General features: G+C 38.1%; 1 long non-coding RNA gene across 1 annotated transcript in view; it reads right to left on the bottom strand.

Moving 5' to 3' along the window:
• Positions 1–19685, bottom strand: part of LINC01256 (long intergenic non-protein coding RNA 1256) — an 87415-nt gene that overhangs the window by 28445 nt on the left and 39285 nt on the right. Inside the window, exon 2 of the long non-coding RNA NR_126401.1 lies at positions 5217–5351. This is a non-coding gene — a long non-coding RNA (long intergenic non-protein coding RNA 1256). The remainder of the gene's footprint in view (positions 1–5216; positions 5352–19685) is intronic.

Below are 19685 nucleotides of genomic sequence, written 5' to 3'. Positions count from 1 at the left end.
TGTGCAAAACGAGGACTTCCTATGCAAACTGAGGACTTACTATGCCAACAGTAGCAAAATGTTAATAAAATATTTTAACAAGTAGATTTAGTCATTGGGTGTAAGGCAATTATTTTATAATTCTTTCAATTTTTCTCTATTTATAAAAAATTCAAAATAAGTACAAAAGTTTAATTTATTTTACTTATCTATATTCATATAAAATCTGAAACCTTACCCCTGTGATATACACACACACACCAGACACACACATACACCAGACACACACACACAGACATGCACACACCAGACACTTACATGGAAGGAGAAAAAAATTTAACAGATATTAGCAAAAGTATAATTATCATTACAGACTTGGTGTATTTCTGAAACTTCACGAAATTGCTATTAGAATAGTGTGCATTAATGAATATAAATCATTTGAATTAATAAGAATTATATAAAAATCTGACTTTTTAGAAAAGTACTGTCTTAGGGAGTCATTTCTATGTCAATAGGTATCTATGAGTCAATTTGAAATGTGTCACTGTCAATTAGAGTTGTATCATCATAATCATTAAACCATGGAATCAAAGACAAAAATTTAGAAATCATGTAGATAATAGTATATATGAAATTCTTATCCTAAATATAATTTTTTACCTAAATAAATTCATTTATCCTAAGTAAAATCATTTTATAATTTCTTATTCTGGCTCTGTTTTTTACATCCCAACATAAACACATACACATATTTATATGTGAAAAAAATCATGTTACAGAAGTTCTTAAAAAATTAACTAGAACCATAGGACTTTAATTGCTGAAAATAATGAAACCTAGAGAATGTATACAGTGGTCATGACTAAACATGTCAGACATTGAGAAAAAGTTAATTAGGTACTTGAAAACATCAACAAGTAAAATTGTTTTATCTCAGCTTGGTCTGACTAAATATGGAAATATCCAAAACATGAAGAAGAAAGAAGTGAAACTGAAATTTAGTCAAAGAGTGTTCATGTAGCAGGTTATGTTTTCTGGGATGCAGATTCTGAGACGGAGTTTAGTTTGCAGAATAAATATTTAGGACTTCCCTTGAGATCAATCACTATTGAGTGGAGCTGGAGGCAGTAGGAAGTAGGTTTGGGCCAAGGAAGTGTTGAGTTGTCATGCAGGCCCATAACATGGACAAATCCATTATGATCCACAGCCTTGGAAAAACTCATTATTAGCCATGAAGTAACGCCCTTTCAGAGTTGACCTTAAGATTAGCTTGAGATGGCCTGGTGTTTAGACTCATACATATATCGGTTAATGGAAGTGAGTTGTCCCAGGGAATGAGTATGATTTTGGGCAAGGCACCTCTGCAGCTGAGGCAATTCCTGGGAATGACAGCTAAAGGTTAAATGGAGGCACATCACAGATGCCATCATTTGCAGCTCTTAAATCCACTTCATGTACACTCTGAATCTTCTCTGTATTTCTAGTGGATTCTCTGCTTGGAGGAATCTTATGAGAAGAAAATTAATGGATTAAAATCCAGGAACTTCTTCTGTAGCTGGCTACAACTAACAGTCATCACTTCTCTTCTCTATTATCCATTTAAATTCTTCCTTCTCCTCAACTGTTAGCTTCATTGGTCTCAATGGCTTACCATGTAGTGTGACCTAGATTTTAACTCCTAGCATCTGAGCCCATGGTCACCATACCTTACTCAGGCCAGAATGGCTGCACCTGTCCATTTAGTGTCAAAATACAGCAGGAGTATGACCATAGGTACCCAAATGAATCACCTCTGCTTAATAAATATTCTTTCTTGAACCCATGCATGACAGCAGCCCTAACACCTACTGATGATCATGGCAATTTATCTCTTCCAAGATGTCAATTATCTTAACTTTTCTTCCCTGGTGATCATTTGACACAAGTATCCCATAGTGAAAAGTGTCACTCTTACCATATAATTCAAAGGAATTTTTCCCGGGTCCTCTGGACCTGGTGGAAGTATTCCCCTTTAGGAAACTAAGACCTCTAAACATGTCAAGCCTAGAATTCTATTTCCTGTGTGGCTTTTTGAGAATAAAGGTAATGAGGCCCACTCCTGCTTCAACTGTTTGGTTTCCAGAACCATGTTGGATGTCCACATTCTAAATTTCCCTAAGTAGCAATTTAATGTGATCAAATAACAATCCCATAACAAGGACAGAACAATGGTTTTGTTGCTGGCAGGTTGGCCTTTTGATAGCAGAAGGAGTTACATGAACTTTGATAAGTCAGAACCAATGTTTCAGGATCCATTCTGAGCCTCTACTTTGGCTAGGCAGTGGGATAGTCAATGAGAATCTGGCCGATGTCAACTGGTTGAGTCACTTTATCTACTTGGTTTGTTGAATACGTTTTCCATGATAGAGGCTCACTGGTGGACTTCAATAATGTGATATAAAAATCTTCTCATTGCTCCCACTCTCATACATTAATTCACTAAACAGGAGTTTCCTGTGAATTATCTGCTCTTCCTTCTTTTTTAACTTCTTGTCTCCTAACCAAGGAACTAAGCCATTTTCCAATATCTACAAGTAAGTATAAATTATAACCTTGAGCTATGTCTCTTTTTACACAAAGTGGATGACTAGGTGCTCTGCACACAAAGGAAATTTTCTGTTGCCAGTGCCTCTCAAGGTTACTACTGAGTAAATATGTAGAGAATTTCCATTCACTTTTTAACTTATATGCACACACAGATATTCTACCCACCTATAGGCAAAGTGTGGACTTTTTATCCTCCATCAGCTGGCCACATAGGTTCCTGCATATTGTTATAAAGTAAGTGTAAGCTGAGGGAGAGGGGGGGCAAATGAAATAATGGTGGTCAACTTGGGAGTCTGCCTGTATAACTTGTTTGTGGTCCCTGATTCTGCATGTGCTTGATCCAGAATGCATCACTTCTTTTTAATGATGGATTGTTGTTTTAGTCACCTCTCTTTATGACTGATGGATCTGACATAACTCAGTTCATGATGGGCAGTTGTAGCCATATGGTCAGTTAGTGGTGATAATTAGGTGCTCCATGTCTACCATGGCCCAAAAAAACGCCAGAAATTAGTTTTGAGGTATAGAATTTCCTGCTGATGGCATAACCTTATTCTGGAATGCTAAGCATCTATGTTATAATTCTACCATTATCAGAATTTATAAAAATTATCTGCTATGGACTGAATGTTGTGTCAAAATCAAATGTACATCCTGCACATGTACCCTGGAAATTAAAAATTAAAATTAAAAAATCAAATGTTAAAACCCTAATTCTCAATGCAAGCGTATTTGGAGATGAAGCCATTGGAAATTAATTAGGTCGTGAAAGTGAAGCCTGATTATGGGATTAGTATCTTCAAAAGAATACAAAAGTGAGTTTGCTTCTCCCTTTCTATGCTCTCTGTCATGCAGTAAGAACATGGCTGTCTGCAATCCAGGAAGTAGGCATGCTTGAGATATCAGATATACTGGCAACATTTCTTGGACTTCCCAGCCTCAAGAACTGTGAGAAATTATGTTTGTTGTTTATGTCATCTAGCCTATGATATTTTTCTTATTGCAGCCCAAACTCGCTAAGACAGTATCCCTTTCAACCACTGATACCTCTAATACTAAATGGTCTGCTGAGTCATGAGGCCTAAGGGACAAAATTTCTGTAACCACTGTCTTAATATGACTCAGAGCCCTTTTGTGTTCTTGGCTGCACTCAAAACAGGTAGCATTTCATGTCATCTGTTATATGCAAAGAGGTTCACTGTGCACTGATTACCATTTGGGTCCATGGCATCTTGAGTTGCTATTTCTATTACTTGCACAAGTCCAGTGAGACAGAACACTTATACTACAAGTTCGTAGAAGCAACTTTATTTCTCACAGACTGGCACCAAGCAATAATAAAGTCTAAGATTCATGGTGAGCCAGTCCCTCAAAGCTCAGAACAGCTGTCCAAGGCAGATGAATCTCATGCACTGTATCTGTGAGACTCTGAGAAACACCTCACCCTAGCTTTTGGACCCTGGAGGAAATTTAATCTTAGGGGCTTTCACTTATTTTTTTCTATTATATCTTACCCCACTAAACAAGATTATAATATCATGGTCTTGCCAGCTACCAAGTACATCTCTACCTATTATTTATTTAGAGACCAGAAAAATAACCATTAATAATCCATGACCGATAGGTCCATTGCTCTATTGGTCCTCCTGTGATCTGCTTGGCCAGGACTCCATTTATCATTTGACTGAACATTTCCCAATTACAGCAGATGATGTATAATAATGCTTTGGTCCTCTGATATCAATGTGAACTTGGACCCTGTATCCAACTGCTCTTGAAGTATTTGGGCATTTCCATTTCTTCACTACACAATTAACCAAATAAATACCTATATGTCCTTTAGAGAAGAACTGAGCAAATCATGCACACTTATTATGATATTGCAGCATTCTTCAGCCTCCTAATCATATACCTGTGATTTCTTTTGATAGTGTAAATTAAGTATTGCCCTATTTTCCTGCCCACTTAATGTGCTCCTAGGATGCTATGTTCTTTAAACCATTTTCACAGCTGTCTTAATCAGTCTCCTTCCTTTTATGTTAACAGTATTTTGCATCCATTTTGCTTCCGATTTAGCACTGCCACCTGCACTCTATTTTGTGGCGCACTATCACCTGTCCTGCTAAAAGAGAACATACTTCTGCAATGATCTCTTCAACAATCAATCCCATGGCAATATGGAGAGTCACCACTGACCTTTCTGGTAATGTGAGTGATGCACTCATCTGAACATTTCTTATGTCCTTGTTAAATAATGTATGCTCCGAATATTTTTATAAGGCATAAATATCTGGTGAGACTTCCAGCCAAATATATAAATATATAAATATTAGCATGCTCACTTCTTTGAGCCATTTAATCACTTATTCTATTGTAGAGCTGGCAATTTTGGCACATACACCTCACTCGTGGAGCCATTGCCATCATCTTAGGAGGCATTCTACTAGCATGTTTATACCATCTCCTGGGGTAATTGCCAGGATGTTAAATCCAGTATTCTAAGAGAGTGCTCACAATCACTATAGACTTCCTCATCCAAGTTTATGTTCCTATTAGCTAGCACCTTCAGAATTCAACTCCACATGTTCACCCCCAGCTCTTGCCTATACCTACAGGCTATGAATTGCGGTAACTTTGGGTATACTTACTTTCTTCTCATATCAGATTCAGAACATCCTCAGCTTATTTAGTTTATGATTTAAGCTTGGTTGTGGACACAGTAGCAGAGAGGGAGCTAGGACATATTGAGTGTTGAAATACGTGGTCATGGAGAAGCAAAGTCTCTACATAAAACAAATGAGAGAAGATTAGTATGTAAGGAAAATTTGGCTACTTTTGTAGTCTAGTCTAGGGAAGTTTAGGGAAATCTGAGGATTCAAGGTTTTATGGCACACCAACTCAGACATCCCAACTATGTGTCACAATTAAATTCTTCCCCAAATCTGGTTCTGGCTTTGGCATCACCAACCAGCTTTGATACTCTGCCAATTAAGTCATTAATCTGGTTTTCATGTTTCCTCTGCCCTCCCACAAAGAGGTGACACGTTTCTGTATGTCGCAAAGGAGACCTTCTGTTGTTTGCACTTATCTTTCAAATTTTTAATTATTCTTCCTCTCTCAACTTCTAGTTACAATGCTCTAGAATATCAATTGAGTTAGTGATAGCAACTGAATTTCATATTTTTGTAGTTACTATGTTCCCCAGAATTATCAAACACCTAATATAACACATAAGCTAATATAATCTTTTCCGTAGATAAAGCATCCCAATTCACTACTGGTAAAAAAATAAAAAAATAAATAGGACCACCACCGGGGATTAGGTCCTAATTGCTAGCTGGGGGATGAATGCTTCTGCTTTAATTTTTTGTCTTAGTTTCTACTTTCTTGGCCCTCATCTGCTACTAACTAACAGTGGTAGGTTTGCTACCACTGAAAGCCAGCTCATTTGAGATGGAGCTTAGCATGCTGGTTATTAATTAAGGAAACCCTTCCTTGGAATTAATATCCATGGAAAAGAGAGAAAGGAAGCAGCTTGGACAGACGGAGAGGTCATACGGCAAGCAGCTTCAATGGCAGAACTGTCAGACACCCAGGGAGTTATGGAACTAGACTTTTTCTTCAGTATTGTTTCAATATGAGTTGAAATGGTCAAGAATTGATTAGTTGTTGGATGCAGGTTGCCCTGAGAAGGAGCATGGCTTTGAAGAGGTGACTCTCTTCAACCCACAGCAATTTCTCTTCAGAGACACTTCGTGGAAGGAAGCTGAAGATGTTTGCAGCAATAGACCTAAATCCTCCATTGAAGGTGGATTTGGGTGGTGCATCACAGAATTCACCACAGATTAAGGGTAGGCTGAACATTTAACCCTTATGAAATTAAAGTGGAAATATGAAAGAAGGGAGGTGTTTCATTTTTAAAATATTGCATAATTGTAAGAGTAATTTCAAGAATCCATGTAGGAATAATTCTGCTACATATAAATAAATACTGTCATCATCTTCATTTCCTAGTATAGTGAAAAAGAAGAGGAAATAGAGCAGAAACTCAACTGAAAGGTCATTTCTTCCACTTTTTAGAAATTTAGTCTTAAGGAAATCCCTTAAACTTGACTGAAATGGTTTTCCTTTCCTGTAAAAAGTGAAGGAGTATCTCTACATTGCTGTTTTGAATGTTCTGTGTGGCTCTGACAGTATCTAGAACAGAGCCTATGATCCTGTTACTTATTTAATATTTTTGAAAAAAATTACCAGTATTTTCAACTCAGTATAATATTAAAATATATATTAATAGAAAATATATAACATAAAATAATTGCATGTAATTTTATTACTTTCAAAAGTATATACTATAATTCTATGAATTGGGCAATGTGTAGATCCCCCACAAAAAAGAAAGCATAAACATAAAAGCATAAAAAAAGATGATTATGTTAGCATGTGCAAACACTAGTGGAAGTTTTGGCATAATGTTCTCATTATACGGAAAGTATATATTTGAAAATAAATACTTTTTATATACTTCAAATGTTCCTTCTTTTATATTTCTAATTTACTCTGAATTTTTTCCAAGATAAATTTATTTTAATTACTGATCTTAATAGCTGGGTTTCTGCCAGACTTCATGCTAAATTTTATGCTAGAGATCTCTTGTGTTCATATTGTATCACCAATGTTTTGGCCCTAATGCATAAGATTTTTATAAATTAATATTGAGTGAGAGGTGAAAGAATAAATAAATAAGATAATTTATTAAAAAGTAATAATTATAATATAATATTATCCAAAATACGTCCTAAATAACTACCCCAGGCAATTAAGGAAATACAGATAATGAGGGTCCAGGAAGGCAATGCTAATGATAAACAAGTCATTATTGGATTTTTTTTTACCACTCAAAGATCAGCAATGACCAAGAAAGAAAATTAATTTGTATAACTCTTTGTCCTCACAATCTGTCTGTCTAGTAATTGACTGATAATAAATATTTCTTGAAGGAATGGATAAACTTTGTCAGAAACGAACTCTAATGTGTAAGAACTCAAATAAAACTTGAGAAGGCGACTGCAATGACTAGATATTGCCAGAGGAGGGAAGCAAAGGGTAACAGAGCAGCTGGCTGGTTGAGCAAAAGGTACCCCTCAGAAAGCCTTCAGAAAGGACAGTTACTGCAGTGGCAAGTTGTGGTCAACGATTAGAAAAGTAGTTTATGTGACAAAGACTGTGTTTGAGTCAAGAGAGAAGTTACTCCCAAGAGGCAAGTCAAGCCATTAGTCAAGACTAGAGGGCGGTATGTAAAACTGGAAGGGTAAAGCCAAAATATGATGCACTGAGAAAAAGCCATGCACCAGGCAATTAAACAAGGAATAATAAGGCTTCAGAAATGTAGTCAGTTGGAAAATATCTTCTGACAATTTTTGCGTTGCTCTGTGCATCTTTTAAATATCTTTGTCTGGTTTGGGAACTGAAATATCTGCTTCTTAAAGTGACAGGACCTTATCTTGGGGATTATCACCTAATGTAAAGTGCATAGTTTAATTTTCAAAAGTTGTTAAATATTGAGGAAAGCAAAGATTAAGAGCTCTCTTTGATTAGAGATTCAAGAAACTATCTATAAAGAAAAGAGTAGGTGAATGTTAGCCATCAAAAACCAGTGATCAAGTTTTACCTTATAAATCTAGAGAGATTTATTTCACCTAACAGTTCTTATCTCTTCTGGTTGTTCTCGAATGGAATAAATATATTCCAGCATTTTCTTCAGGTTCACTAACAATGGAAAAAAAACAGATATGGGCTTGATTTGTTTTGGTATAGACTTGTTCTATAACCTAGGTTGTGTTTCTCAATTTAAGTACAAGGCATTCTGACTTAATTTCTTGACTTTTTACTCGAAATGTTTTTGCTTATGGAATCCTGCTGTAAACTTTAAAATTTAGTTTAGCTTTACTATAAGTACATGGAGTATGACTGGGCTTATGCATGAATTAGGAAAGTGATTCAGATTTATAATGCTGCTTTTTTCCCCCAGCTCAAATAAAGTGTTTTTAGTGGACAGCCACAGCCAAAATTATGACTGACATTGCATCCCATTTCCCTGGATCTCAGATATCAAAACAATACAGATTAGACCTTAAGTTCATCACTTCCTGTGGATTTCGATTTAAACTTTGCTAAATTCAAAATTCCTAAATTATGATCCCAGTGCTGTTAATGATTTCTCTGTTTCTAGATAAGTCACATAGTCTCTCTATGCCTGTTTTATTTATTCTTTTAATTTTTTATTCACACCTAATGATTGAACAGATGTATAGGGTACATGTGATATTTTGATACTAGCATATGATGTATAATTATCAAATCCAGGTAATTGGGATATTCATCACGTCAAATATTTATCATGCCTTTGTGTTGGAAAAATTCCGTATCTTCTCTTCTAGCTATTTTAAAATACGTAATAAATTTTGTAAACTATAGTCTCCCTATTATGCTACCAAACACTCAGTCTTATCCCCTCTGTCTAATTGTGTTTTTGTATCCATTAACCAACTGCTCTTTATCCCCTTCTTAATACACTTCCTAGCCTCTGGTAAGCACTATTGTATTTGCTACCTTTATGAGATCATTTTTTTCAGCTCCCACATATGAGTGAGAACACTTGATATTTGTCTTTCTGTGTCTGGCTTATTGAATTTCACATAATTTTCTCCACTTCTACCCATGTTGCTGCAAATGGCAGGATTTCATTCTTTTTATGACTGAATAATATTATATTGTGTATATACATTTTCTTTATGCATTCAACCATTGATGACCACTTAAAGTGATTCCATACCTTGGGTATTGGGAAGAGTGCTGCAATACCTTTAATTTGTATGTTTAGACTAGGCCAGAAGCTTTTTAATGGGAGGTTCAGTTTGAGAGGCTAAAATGAGGTCTCTGTTCGGACAGAAGTTATTTTGACCTTTTCACTTCTATCTGTTTAGTTATATGTGAGTTGAGAATGTCTCACAAGGGGATAAAGGGGTTTGTGAGTGCTACATATAACATTTTTTTTGTGCAAAGACAATGTTACACATTCAAATGTGCTCTCCACAAAAAAGATGTGAAGTCCTAATTCTCAGTACACATGAATGCAAATTTATTTAGGAATAGGGTCATTACAAATGTAATTAATTAGCATAAGGTAATACTAGAGTAAGGTGAGCCCTAATCCAATATGACTGGTTTCTTTAAAAGAAGACAATGCCATATGAAGACAGAGACACACAAGGAGAAGACCACATGATGGAAGAGGCAGATATTGGAATGACGCAGCTGCAAGCGAATGAATGCCAAGGATTAATGGCCACCATCAGAAGCTAGGAAGAGGCTAAAAACAATTTAACCCAGAATCTCAGAGTCAGCGTGGCACTGCTAACTCATTGGTTTCAGATATCTAGACTCTGGAACTAACAGAGAATGTATTTCTGTTGTTTTAAGCCACTCAATTTGTAGTACTTTGTGATAGCAGTCCTAGGCAACTAATAGAACAAAGACAATAATAAGTTATTTGTGAAAAGAAACAAAGACACTGAGACACTGATGAAAATGTTAAAATGCACACCTTGTCGAGAGATTCAAGAAACTATCCAAAACTGAGAGCTTAGTTTCAGTAAACACATGCGGTCAAAATACAGTCTTTTCCCATAAACTTTGTTGTGTTGCCCAATTTAAATAGTATCCTGACTTAATTTTCTATTTTAAATTTATTTTTAAAGGTCTAAGGTAGGAGGAAGGGATTGTATTAGTCAGGGTTCTCTAGAGGGACAGAACTAATAGGATAGTTGTATATAAAAAGAGGAGCTTAATAAGGAGTATTAACTCACATGATCACAAGGTCCCACAATAGGCAGTCTGCAAGCTGAAGAGAGAGGAAGCCAGTCTGAGTCCTAAAGCTGAAGAACTTGGAGTGCAATGTTCGAGGGCAGGAAGCATCCAGCATGGGAAAGAAATGTAGGCTGGGAGACTAAGCCAGTCTACCTTTTCAAGTTTTTCTGCCTGCTTTATATCCTGGATGAGCTGGCAGCTGATTAGATGTTGCCCACCCAGATTAAGTGTTGGTCTGCCCTTCCCACCCCACTGACTCAAATGTTAATTTCCTTTGGCAACACCCTCACAGACAAACCCAGGATCAATACTTTGCATCCTTCAATCTAACCAAGTTGACACTCAGTATTAACCATCACAGGGGTTATATGATAATTCTAGTTAGGATGCAAGTAAAAGCAATACTAAAAACTATTACATGCACAATTTCAACTCATCATTTACAAACATGTTTAAAACTTGACTTAAGTAGTTTTCCTTCCAATAATGGCTAAGTAGCTGATATCAGACCAAATCTTTTAGAAAGGACTTGTAATATCTTTGAAAATTATCTTTAAAAAATCAGAAAGACAAAACTTAGGCAGATATTAAAGGGATAGCAAAACTTTCAGCAATGTATATGCATTGGTTAAGTTTCACATTTTACAAGCGTTCTGCTTGAGGACACAGTCAAGCACCACACTTCGTCTTGTGGTAAAGCTACAGTTTATTTCTTCAGTGTGTAGTCTTGTTAACTGGATGAACCAGAGGACAGAGTTTGAATTCCTGACCCATAAGAAATTGAAGGGGTGATATTCAAGAAAGGAGAGGCACAGAAAAGAGTAGTACCAAATACTGTGTGTAAACTCAATTCATATCTCTGGTAGATCTATTGACCATGCACCTGTAAAGCAGATGCCAAAAAGACCATTTCAGGCTAAAATAATTGAAGCTAGAATTCAGATGCTGCTCACTGGAGAGGATACAGATCTTCCAGACTGAGTTCAGCTGTTTAATTGGGAGAAAAGGAAATCATCTTCAGAAAAACAAAACAGAATTCAGAGCCTCCAGTATGTATGTTCCACAATGTCCAGGTTACACTCCAAAATTACTCATATATAAATAAATAAGAATAAATGATCCAAATTTAAAAAAAATCAATAGAGAAAAAGCTGAAGTTGTCTCAAAAGATGAAATTAACAGTTTTAAAATGATTATTATTACTATACACTAGAATACAAAGAAAAAATAGGCTCATAATAAATGTAAAGATAGGAAATCTGAGTGGATAAATAAAAAATATATTAAAGCTAAAATTTTAAATCTGAAAAATAAAATATCTGGCCTTAAAATAATCACTATATGGGCTTAACAACATATTAAAAATTATCAAAGAAACAGTATATATACAAATTGATCATTAGAAAATATCCAATTCTGAAAAAGGGGGAGAAAATAGATTTAACAAAATGAATAGAACTTATGAAACCTGTGGATCAATACAAAAGTTATAATACACATTTAAATGATACATAGAAAAAGAGGAAAACAAATGGCTGCAGAAATAACATCTGAAGAAATATGAAATGCATTTCAGAAACGTAGTGATAAACATGAATTTTTAAATTCAAGATCATTCAGTTTGAAACAAAATTAAAAACAACTAAATGTTTTAATAAAAGCATAACTATATCACAAATTTCTGAAAACTGAAAATAATGTCCTGAGAGAAATATGACAAATTATATTAAAAAAAGATTCAAATATCCACTGATTTCTCACTAGAAACAATGGAAAACTAGATGACATTGAAATACTCTTGTGTTAGTCTATTTGCACTGCTATAAAGAAATACCTGAGACGAGTTAATTTATAAAGAAAAAAAGCTTATTTTGACTATTGGCTCTGCAGGCCATACAGGAAGCTTAGTGTCGGCATCTGCTTCTGTTGAGGGCCCAGGAAGCTTACAATCATGGTGGAAGGCAAAGGGTGAGCAGGCATGTTCCAAAGCAAGAGAGAAAGCAAGACAGAGGAAGCAAAAAAGAGATAGAGGAGGTGCCACATTCCTTTAAGTAATCAGATCTTGCCTGAACTCAGAGGGAGAGCTCACTCATTACCTTACAAGAAGGGTGTATTAGTCTGTTTTGAAACTGCTATGAAGAAATACCCAAGACTGGGTAATTTATAAAGAAAAGAGGTCTAATTAACTCACAGTTCTGCATGGCTTGAGGGTGGGCTCAGGAAATTTACAATCATGTCAAAAGGCACATCTTCAGAAGGTGGCAGGAGAGAAAATGAGTGCCAAGTGAAGGGGGAAGCCCCTTATAAAACCATCAGATCTGGGGGAGGAGCCAAGATGGCCGAATAGGAATAGCTCCGGTCTACAGCTCCCAGCGTGAGTGACGCAGAAGACGGGTGATTTCTGCATTTCCATCTGAGGTACCGGGTTCATCTCACTAGGGAGTGCCAGACAGTGGGCGCAGGTCAGTGGGTGCGCACACCATGCACGAGCCGAAGCAGGGCGAGGCATTGCCTCACTTGGGAAGCGCAAGGGGTCAGGGAGTTCCCTTTCTGAGTCAAAGAAAGGGGTGACGGACGGCACCTGGAAAATCGGGTCACTCCCACCCGAATACTGCGCTTTTCCGACGGGCTTAAAAAACGGTGCACCACCAGATTATATCCCGCACCTGGCTCGGAGGGTCCTACGCCCATGGAGTCTCACTGATTGCTAGCACAGCAGTCTGAGATCAAACTGCAAGGCTGCAGCGAGGGTGGGGGAGGGGCGCCCACCATTGCCCAGGCTTGATTAGGTAAACAAAGCAGCCGGGAAGCTCGAACTGGGTGGAACCCACCACAGCTCAAGGAGGCCTGCCTGCCTCTGTAGGCTCCACCTCTGGGGGCAGGGCACAGACAAACAAAAAGACAGCAGTAACCTCTGCAGACTTAAATGTCCCTATCTGACAGCTTTGAAGAGAGCAGTGGTTCTCCCAGCACGCAGCTGGAGATCTGAGAACAGGCAGACTGCCTCCTCAAATGGGTCCCTGACCCCTGACCCCTGAGCAGCCTAACTGGGAGGCACCCCCCAGCAGGGGCACACTGACACCTAACACGGCAGGGTACTCCAACAGACCTGCAGCTGAGGGTCCTCTCTGTTAGAAGGAAAACTAACAAACAGAAAGGACATCCACACCAAAAACCCATCTGTACATCACCATCATCAAACACCAAAAGTAGATAAAACCACAAAGATGGGGAAAAAACAGAACAGAAAAACTGGAAACTCTAAAAAGCAGAGCGTCTCTCCTCCTCCAAAGGAACGCAGTTCCTCAGCAGCAACGGAACAAAGCTGGATGGAGAATGACTTTGACGAGCTGAGAGAAGAAGGCTTCAGACGATCAAATTACTCTGAGCTACGGGAGGACATTCAAACTAAAGGCAAAGAAGTTGAAAACTTTGAAAAAAATTTAGAAGAATGTATAACTAGAATAACCAATACAGAGAAGTGCTTAAAGGAGCTGATGGAGCTGAAAACCAAGGCTCGAGAACTACGTGAAGAATGCAGAAGCCTCAGGAGCCGACGCGATCAACTGGAAGAAAGGGTATCAGCAATGGAAGATGAAATGAATGAAATGAAGCGAGAAGGGAAGTCTAGAGAAAAAAGAATAAAAAGAAATGAGCAAAGCCTCCAAGAAATATGGGACTATGTGAAAAGACCAAATCTACGTCTGATTGGTGTACCTGAAAGTGATGGGGAGAATGGAACCAAGTTGGAAAACACTCTGCAGGATATTATCCAGGAGAACTTCCCCAATCTAGCAAGGCAGGCCAACGTTCAGATTCAGGAAATACAGAGAACGCCACAAAGATACTCCTCGAGAAGAGCAACTCCAAGACACATAATTGTCAGATTCACCAAAGTTGAAATGAAGGAAAAAATGTTAAGGGCAGCCAGAGAGAAAGGTCGGGTTACCCTCAAAGGGAAGCGCATCACACTAACAGCGGATCTCTTGGCAGAAACCCTACAAGCCAGAAGAGAGAGGGGGCCAATATTCAACATTCTTAAAGAAAAGAATTTTCAACCCAGAATTTCATATCCAGCCAAACTAAGCTTCATAAGTGAAGGAGAAATAAAATACTTTACAGACAAGCAAATGCTGAGAGATTTTGTCACCACCAGCCCTGCCTTACAAGAGCTCCTGAAGGAAGCACTAAACATGGAGAGGAACAACCGGTACCAGCTGCTGCAAAATCATGCCAAAATGTAAAGACCATCGAGACTAGGAAGAAACTGCATCAACTAATGAGCAAAATAACCAGCTAACATCATAATGACAGGATCAAATTCACACATAACAATATTAACTTTAAATGTAAATGGACTAAATGCTCCAATTAAAAGACACAGACTGGCAAATTGGATAAAGAGTCAAGACCCATCAGTGTGCTATATTCAGGAAACCCATCTCACGTGCAGAGACACATATAGGCTCAAAATAAAAGGATGCAGGAAGATCTACCAAGCCAATGGAAAACAAAAAAAGGCAGGGGTTGCAATCCTAGTCTCTGATAAAACAGACTTCAAACCAACAAAGATCAAAAGAGACAAAGAAGGCCATTACATAATGGTAAAGGGATCAATTCAACAAGAAGAGCTAACTATCCTAAATATATATGCACCCAATACAGGAGCACCAAGATTCAAAATGCAAGTCCTGAGTGACCTACAAAGAGACTTAGACTCCCACACATTAATAATGGGAGACTTTAACACCCCACTGTCAACATTAGACAGAACGAGACAGAAAGTCAACAAGGATACCCAGGAATTGAACTCAGCTCTGCACCAAGCGGACCTAATAGACATCTACAGAACTCTCCACCCCAAATCAAGAGAATATACATTTTTTTCAGCACCACACCACACCTATTCCAAAATTGACCACATACTGGGAAGTAAAGCTCTCCTCAGCAAATGTAAAAGAACAGAAATTATAACAAACTATCTCTCAGACCACAGTGCAATCAAGCTAGAACTCAGGATTAAGAATCTCACTCAAAACCACTCAACTACATGGAAACTGAACAACCTGCTCCTGAATGACTACTGGGTACATAACGAAATGAAGGCAGAAATAAAGATGTTCTTTGAAACCAACAAGAACAAAGATACAACATACCAGAATCTCTGGGACGCATTCAAAGCAGTGTATAAAGGGAAATTTATAGCACTAAATGCCCACAAGAGAAAGCAGGAAAGACCAAAATTGACACCCTAACATCACAATTAAAAGAACTAGAAAAGCAAGAGCAAACACATTCAAAAGCGAGCAGAAGGCAAGAAATAACTAAAATCAGAGCAGAACTGAAGGAAATAGAGACACAAAAAAACCTTCAAAAAATTAATGAATCCAGGAGCTGGTTTTTTGAAAGGATCAACAAAATTGATAGACCTCTAGCAAGACTAATAAAGAAAAAAAGAGAGAAGAATCAAATAGACACAATAAAAAATGATAAAGGGGATATCACCACCGATCCCACAGAAATACAAACTACCATCAGGGAATACTACAAACACCTCTACGCAAATAAACTAGAAAATCTAGAAGAAATGGATAAATTCCTTGACACAGACACTCTCCCAAGACTAAACCAGGAAGAAGTTGAATCTATGAATAGACCAATAACAGGATCTGAAATTGTGGCAATAATCAATAGCTTACCAACCAAAAAGAGGCCAGGACCAGATGGATTCACAGCCAAATTCTACCAGAGGTACAAGGAGAAACGGGTACCATTCCTTCTGAAACGATTCCAATCAATAGAAAAAGAGGGAATCCTCCCTAACTCATTTTATGAGGCCAGCAACATTTTGATACCAAAGCCAGGCAGAGACACAACAAAAAAAGAGAATTTTAGAACAATATCCTTGATGAACATTGATGCAAAAATCCTCAATAAAATACTGGCAAAACGAATCCAGCAGCACATCAAAAAGCTTATCCACCATGATCAAGTGGGCTTCATCCCTGGGATGCAAGGCTGGTTCAATATACGCAAATCAATAAATGTAATCCAGCATATAAACAGAGCCAAAGACAAAAACCACATGATTATCTCAATAGATACAGAAAAAGCCTTTGACAAAATTCAACAACCCTTCATGCTAAAAATTCTCAATAAATTAGGTATTGATGGCACGTATTTCAAAATAATAAGAGCTATCTATGACAAACCCACAGCCAATATCATACTGAATGGGCAAAAACTGGAAGCATTCCCTTTGAAAACTGGCACAAGACAGGGATGCCCTCTCTCACCACTCCTATTCAACATAGTGTTGGAAGTTCTGGCCAGGGCAATTAGACAGAAGAAGGAAATAAAGGGTATTCAATTAGGAAAAGAGGAAGTCAAATTGTCCCTGTTTGCAGACGACATGATTGTATATCTAGAAAACCCCATTGTCTCAGCCCAAAATCTCCTTAAGCTGATAAGCAACTTCAGCAAAGTCTCAGGATACAAAATCAATGTACCAAAATCACAAGCATTCTTATACACCAACAACAGACAAACACAGAGCCAAATCATGAGTGAACTCCCATTCACAATTGCTTCAAAGAGAATAAAATACCTAGGAATCCAACTTACAAGGGATGTGAAGGACCTCTTCAAGGAGAACTACAAACCACTGCTCAATGAAATAAAAGAGGATACAAACAAATGGAAGAACATTCCATGCTCATGGGTAGGAAGAATCAATATCGTGAAAATGGCCATACTGCCCAAGGTAATTTACAGATTCAATGCCATCCCCATCAAGCTACCAATGACTTTCTTCACAGAATTGGAAAAAACTACTTTAAAGTTCATATGGAACCAAAAAAGAGCCCGCATTGCCAAGTCAATCCTAAGGCAAAAGAACAAAGCTGGAGGCATCACACTACCTGACTTCAAACTATACTACAAGGCTACAGTAACCAAAACAGCATGGTACTGGTACCAAAACAGAGATATAGATCAATGGAACAGAACAGAGCCCTCAGAAATAATGCCACATATCTACAACTATCGGATCTTTGACAAACCTGAGAAAAACAAGCAATGGGAAAGGATTCTCTATTTAATAAATGGTGCTGGGAAAACTGGCTAGCCATATGTAGAAAGCTGAAACTGGATCCCTTCCTTACACCTTATACAAAAATTAATTCAAGATAGATTAAAGACTTAAACGTTAGACCTAAAACCATAAAAACTCTAGAAGAAAACCTAGACATTACCATTCAGGACATAGGCATGGGCAAGGACTTCCTGTCTAAAACACCAAAAGCAATGGCAACAAAAGACAAAATTGACAAATGGGATCTAGTTAAACTAAAGAGCTTCTGCACAGCAAAAGAAACTACCATCAGAGTGAACAGGCAACCTACAAAATGGGAGAAAATTTTCACAACCTACTCATCTGACAAAGGGCTAATATCCAGAATCTACAATGAACTCAAATTTACAAGAAAAAAACAAACAACCCCATCAAAAAGTGGGCGAAGGACATGAACAGACACTTCTCAAAAGAAGACATTTATGCAGCCAAAAAACACATGAAAAAATGCTCATCATCACTGGCCATCAGAGAAATGCAAATCAAAACCACAATGAGATACCATCTCACACCAGTTAGAATGGCAATCATTAAAAAGTCAGGAAACAACAGGTGCTGGAGAGGATGTGGAGAAATAGGAACACTTTTACACTGTTGATGGGACTGTAAACTAGTTCAACCATTGTGGAATTCAGTGTGGCAATTCCTCAGGGATCTAGAACTGGAAATACCATTTCACCCAGCCATCCCATTACTGGGTATATACCCAAAGGACTATAAATCATGCTGCTATAAAGACACATGCCCACCTATGTTTATTGTGGCATTATTCACAATAGCAAAGACTTGGAACCAACCCAAATGTCCATCAATGATAGACTGGATTGAGAAAATGTGGCACATATACACCATGGAATACTATGCGGCCATAAAAAATGATGAGTTCATGTCCTTTGTAGGGACATGGATGAAATTGGAAATCATCATTCTCAGTAAACTATCGCAAAAAACCAAACACCGCATATTCTCACTCATAGGTGGGAACTGAACAATGAGATCACATGGACACAGGAAGGGGAATATCACAATCTGGGGACTGTTGTGGGGTGGGGGGAGGGGAGAGGGATAGCATCGGGAGATATACCTAATGCTAGATGATGAGTTAGTGGGTGCAGCGCACCAGCATGGCACATGTATACATATGTAACTAACCAGCACAATGTGCACATGTACCCTAAAACTTAAAGTATAAATAAAAAAATAAAATAAAATAAAACCATCAGATCTTGTGAAAACTTACTCCCTATCACAAGAACAGCACGGGGAAACCAGTCCTATGATTCAATTGTATACACCTGGTCCCACCCTTGACACATGGAGATTATTACAATTCAAGGTGAGATTTGGATCGGGACATAGAGCCAGATCATATCGTTCCATGCCTGACCCCTCAAAATATCATGTCCTCCTACATCAAGGCAAGTCCCTTCTGTCTATGAGGCAGTAAAATCAAACACAAGTGAGTTACTTTTTTAGATACAATGGGGGTGCAGGCATTGCATAAATGCACCCATTCCAAATGGGAGAAATTAGTCAAAACAAAGGGGCTACAGGCTCCATGCAAATCTGAAATCCAATAAGGTGGTCATTAAAGCTTAAAGTTACAAAATGATCTTCTTTGACTCTATGTCACACATCCAGGTTACACTGATGCAAGAGATGAACTCCCCTGGTGTTGGGCAGCTTCAGCCCTGTGACTTTGCAGGGTACAGTCCTCCTCTGGGCTGCTTTCATGGGCTGCCATTGAGTGCCTGTGGCTCTTCCTGGCACATGGTGCAAGCCATTGATGGATCTACCATTCTGGGGTCTGGAGGATGATGTCCCTCTCCTCACAGCTGCACTAGGCAGTGCCCGGGTGGGGAATCTGTGTGTGGACTCCATCCCCATACTTCCCTTCTGCACTGCCCAAGCAGAGGTTTTCCATGAGGGCTCCACCTCTGCAGCAAACTTCTGCCTGGACACCCAGGCATTTCCATACATCCTCTGCATCTAGGCAGAGGTTCCCCAACCTCAATTCTTTTTTTTAATTATTAAACTTTAAGCTCTAGGGTACAGGTGCACAACACGCAGGTTTGTTACATAGATAAACATGTGCCATGTTGGTTTGCTGCACCCGTCA

The sequence above is a fragment of the Homo sapiens genome, chromosome 4, assembly GCF_000001405.40.
Source record: "Homo sapiens chromosome 4, GRCh38.p14 Primary Assembly".
In the NCBI taxonomy this organism is placed as follows: Eukaryota; Metazoa; Chordata; class Mammalia; order Primates; family Hominidae; genus Homo; species Homo sapiens.
Note: the sequence above shows the minus strand (reverse complement) of the source record. Positions and strands in the feature narration are given on the sequence as shown.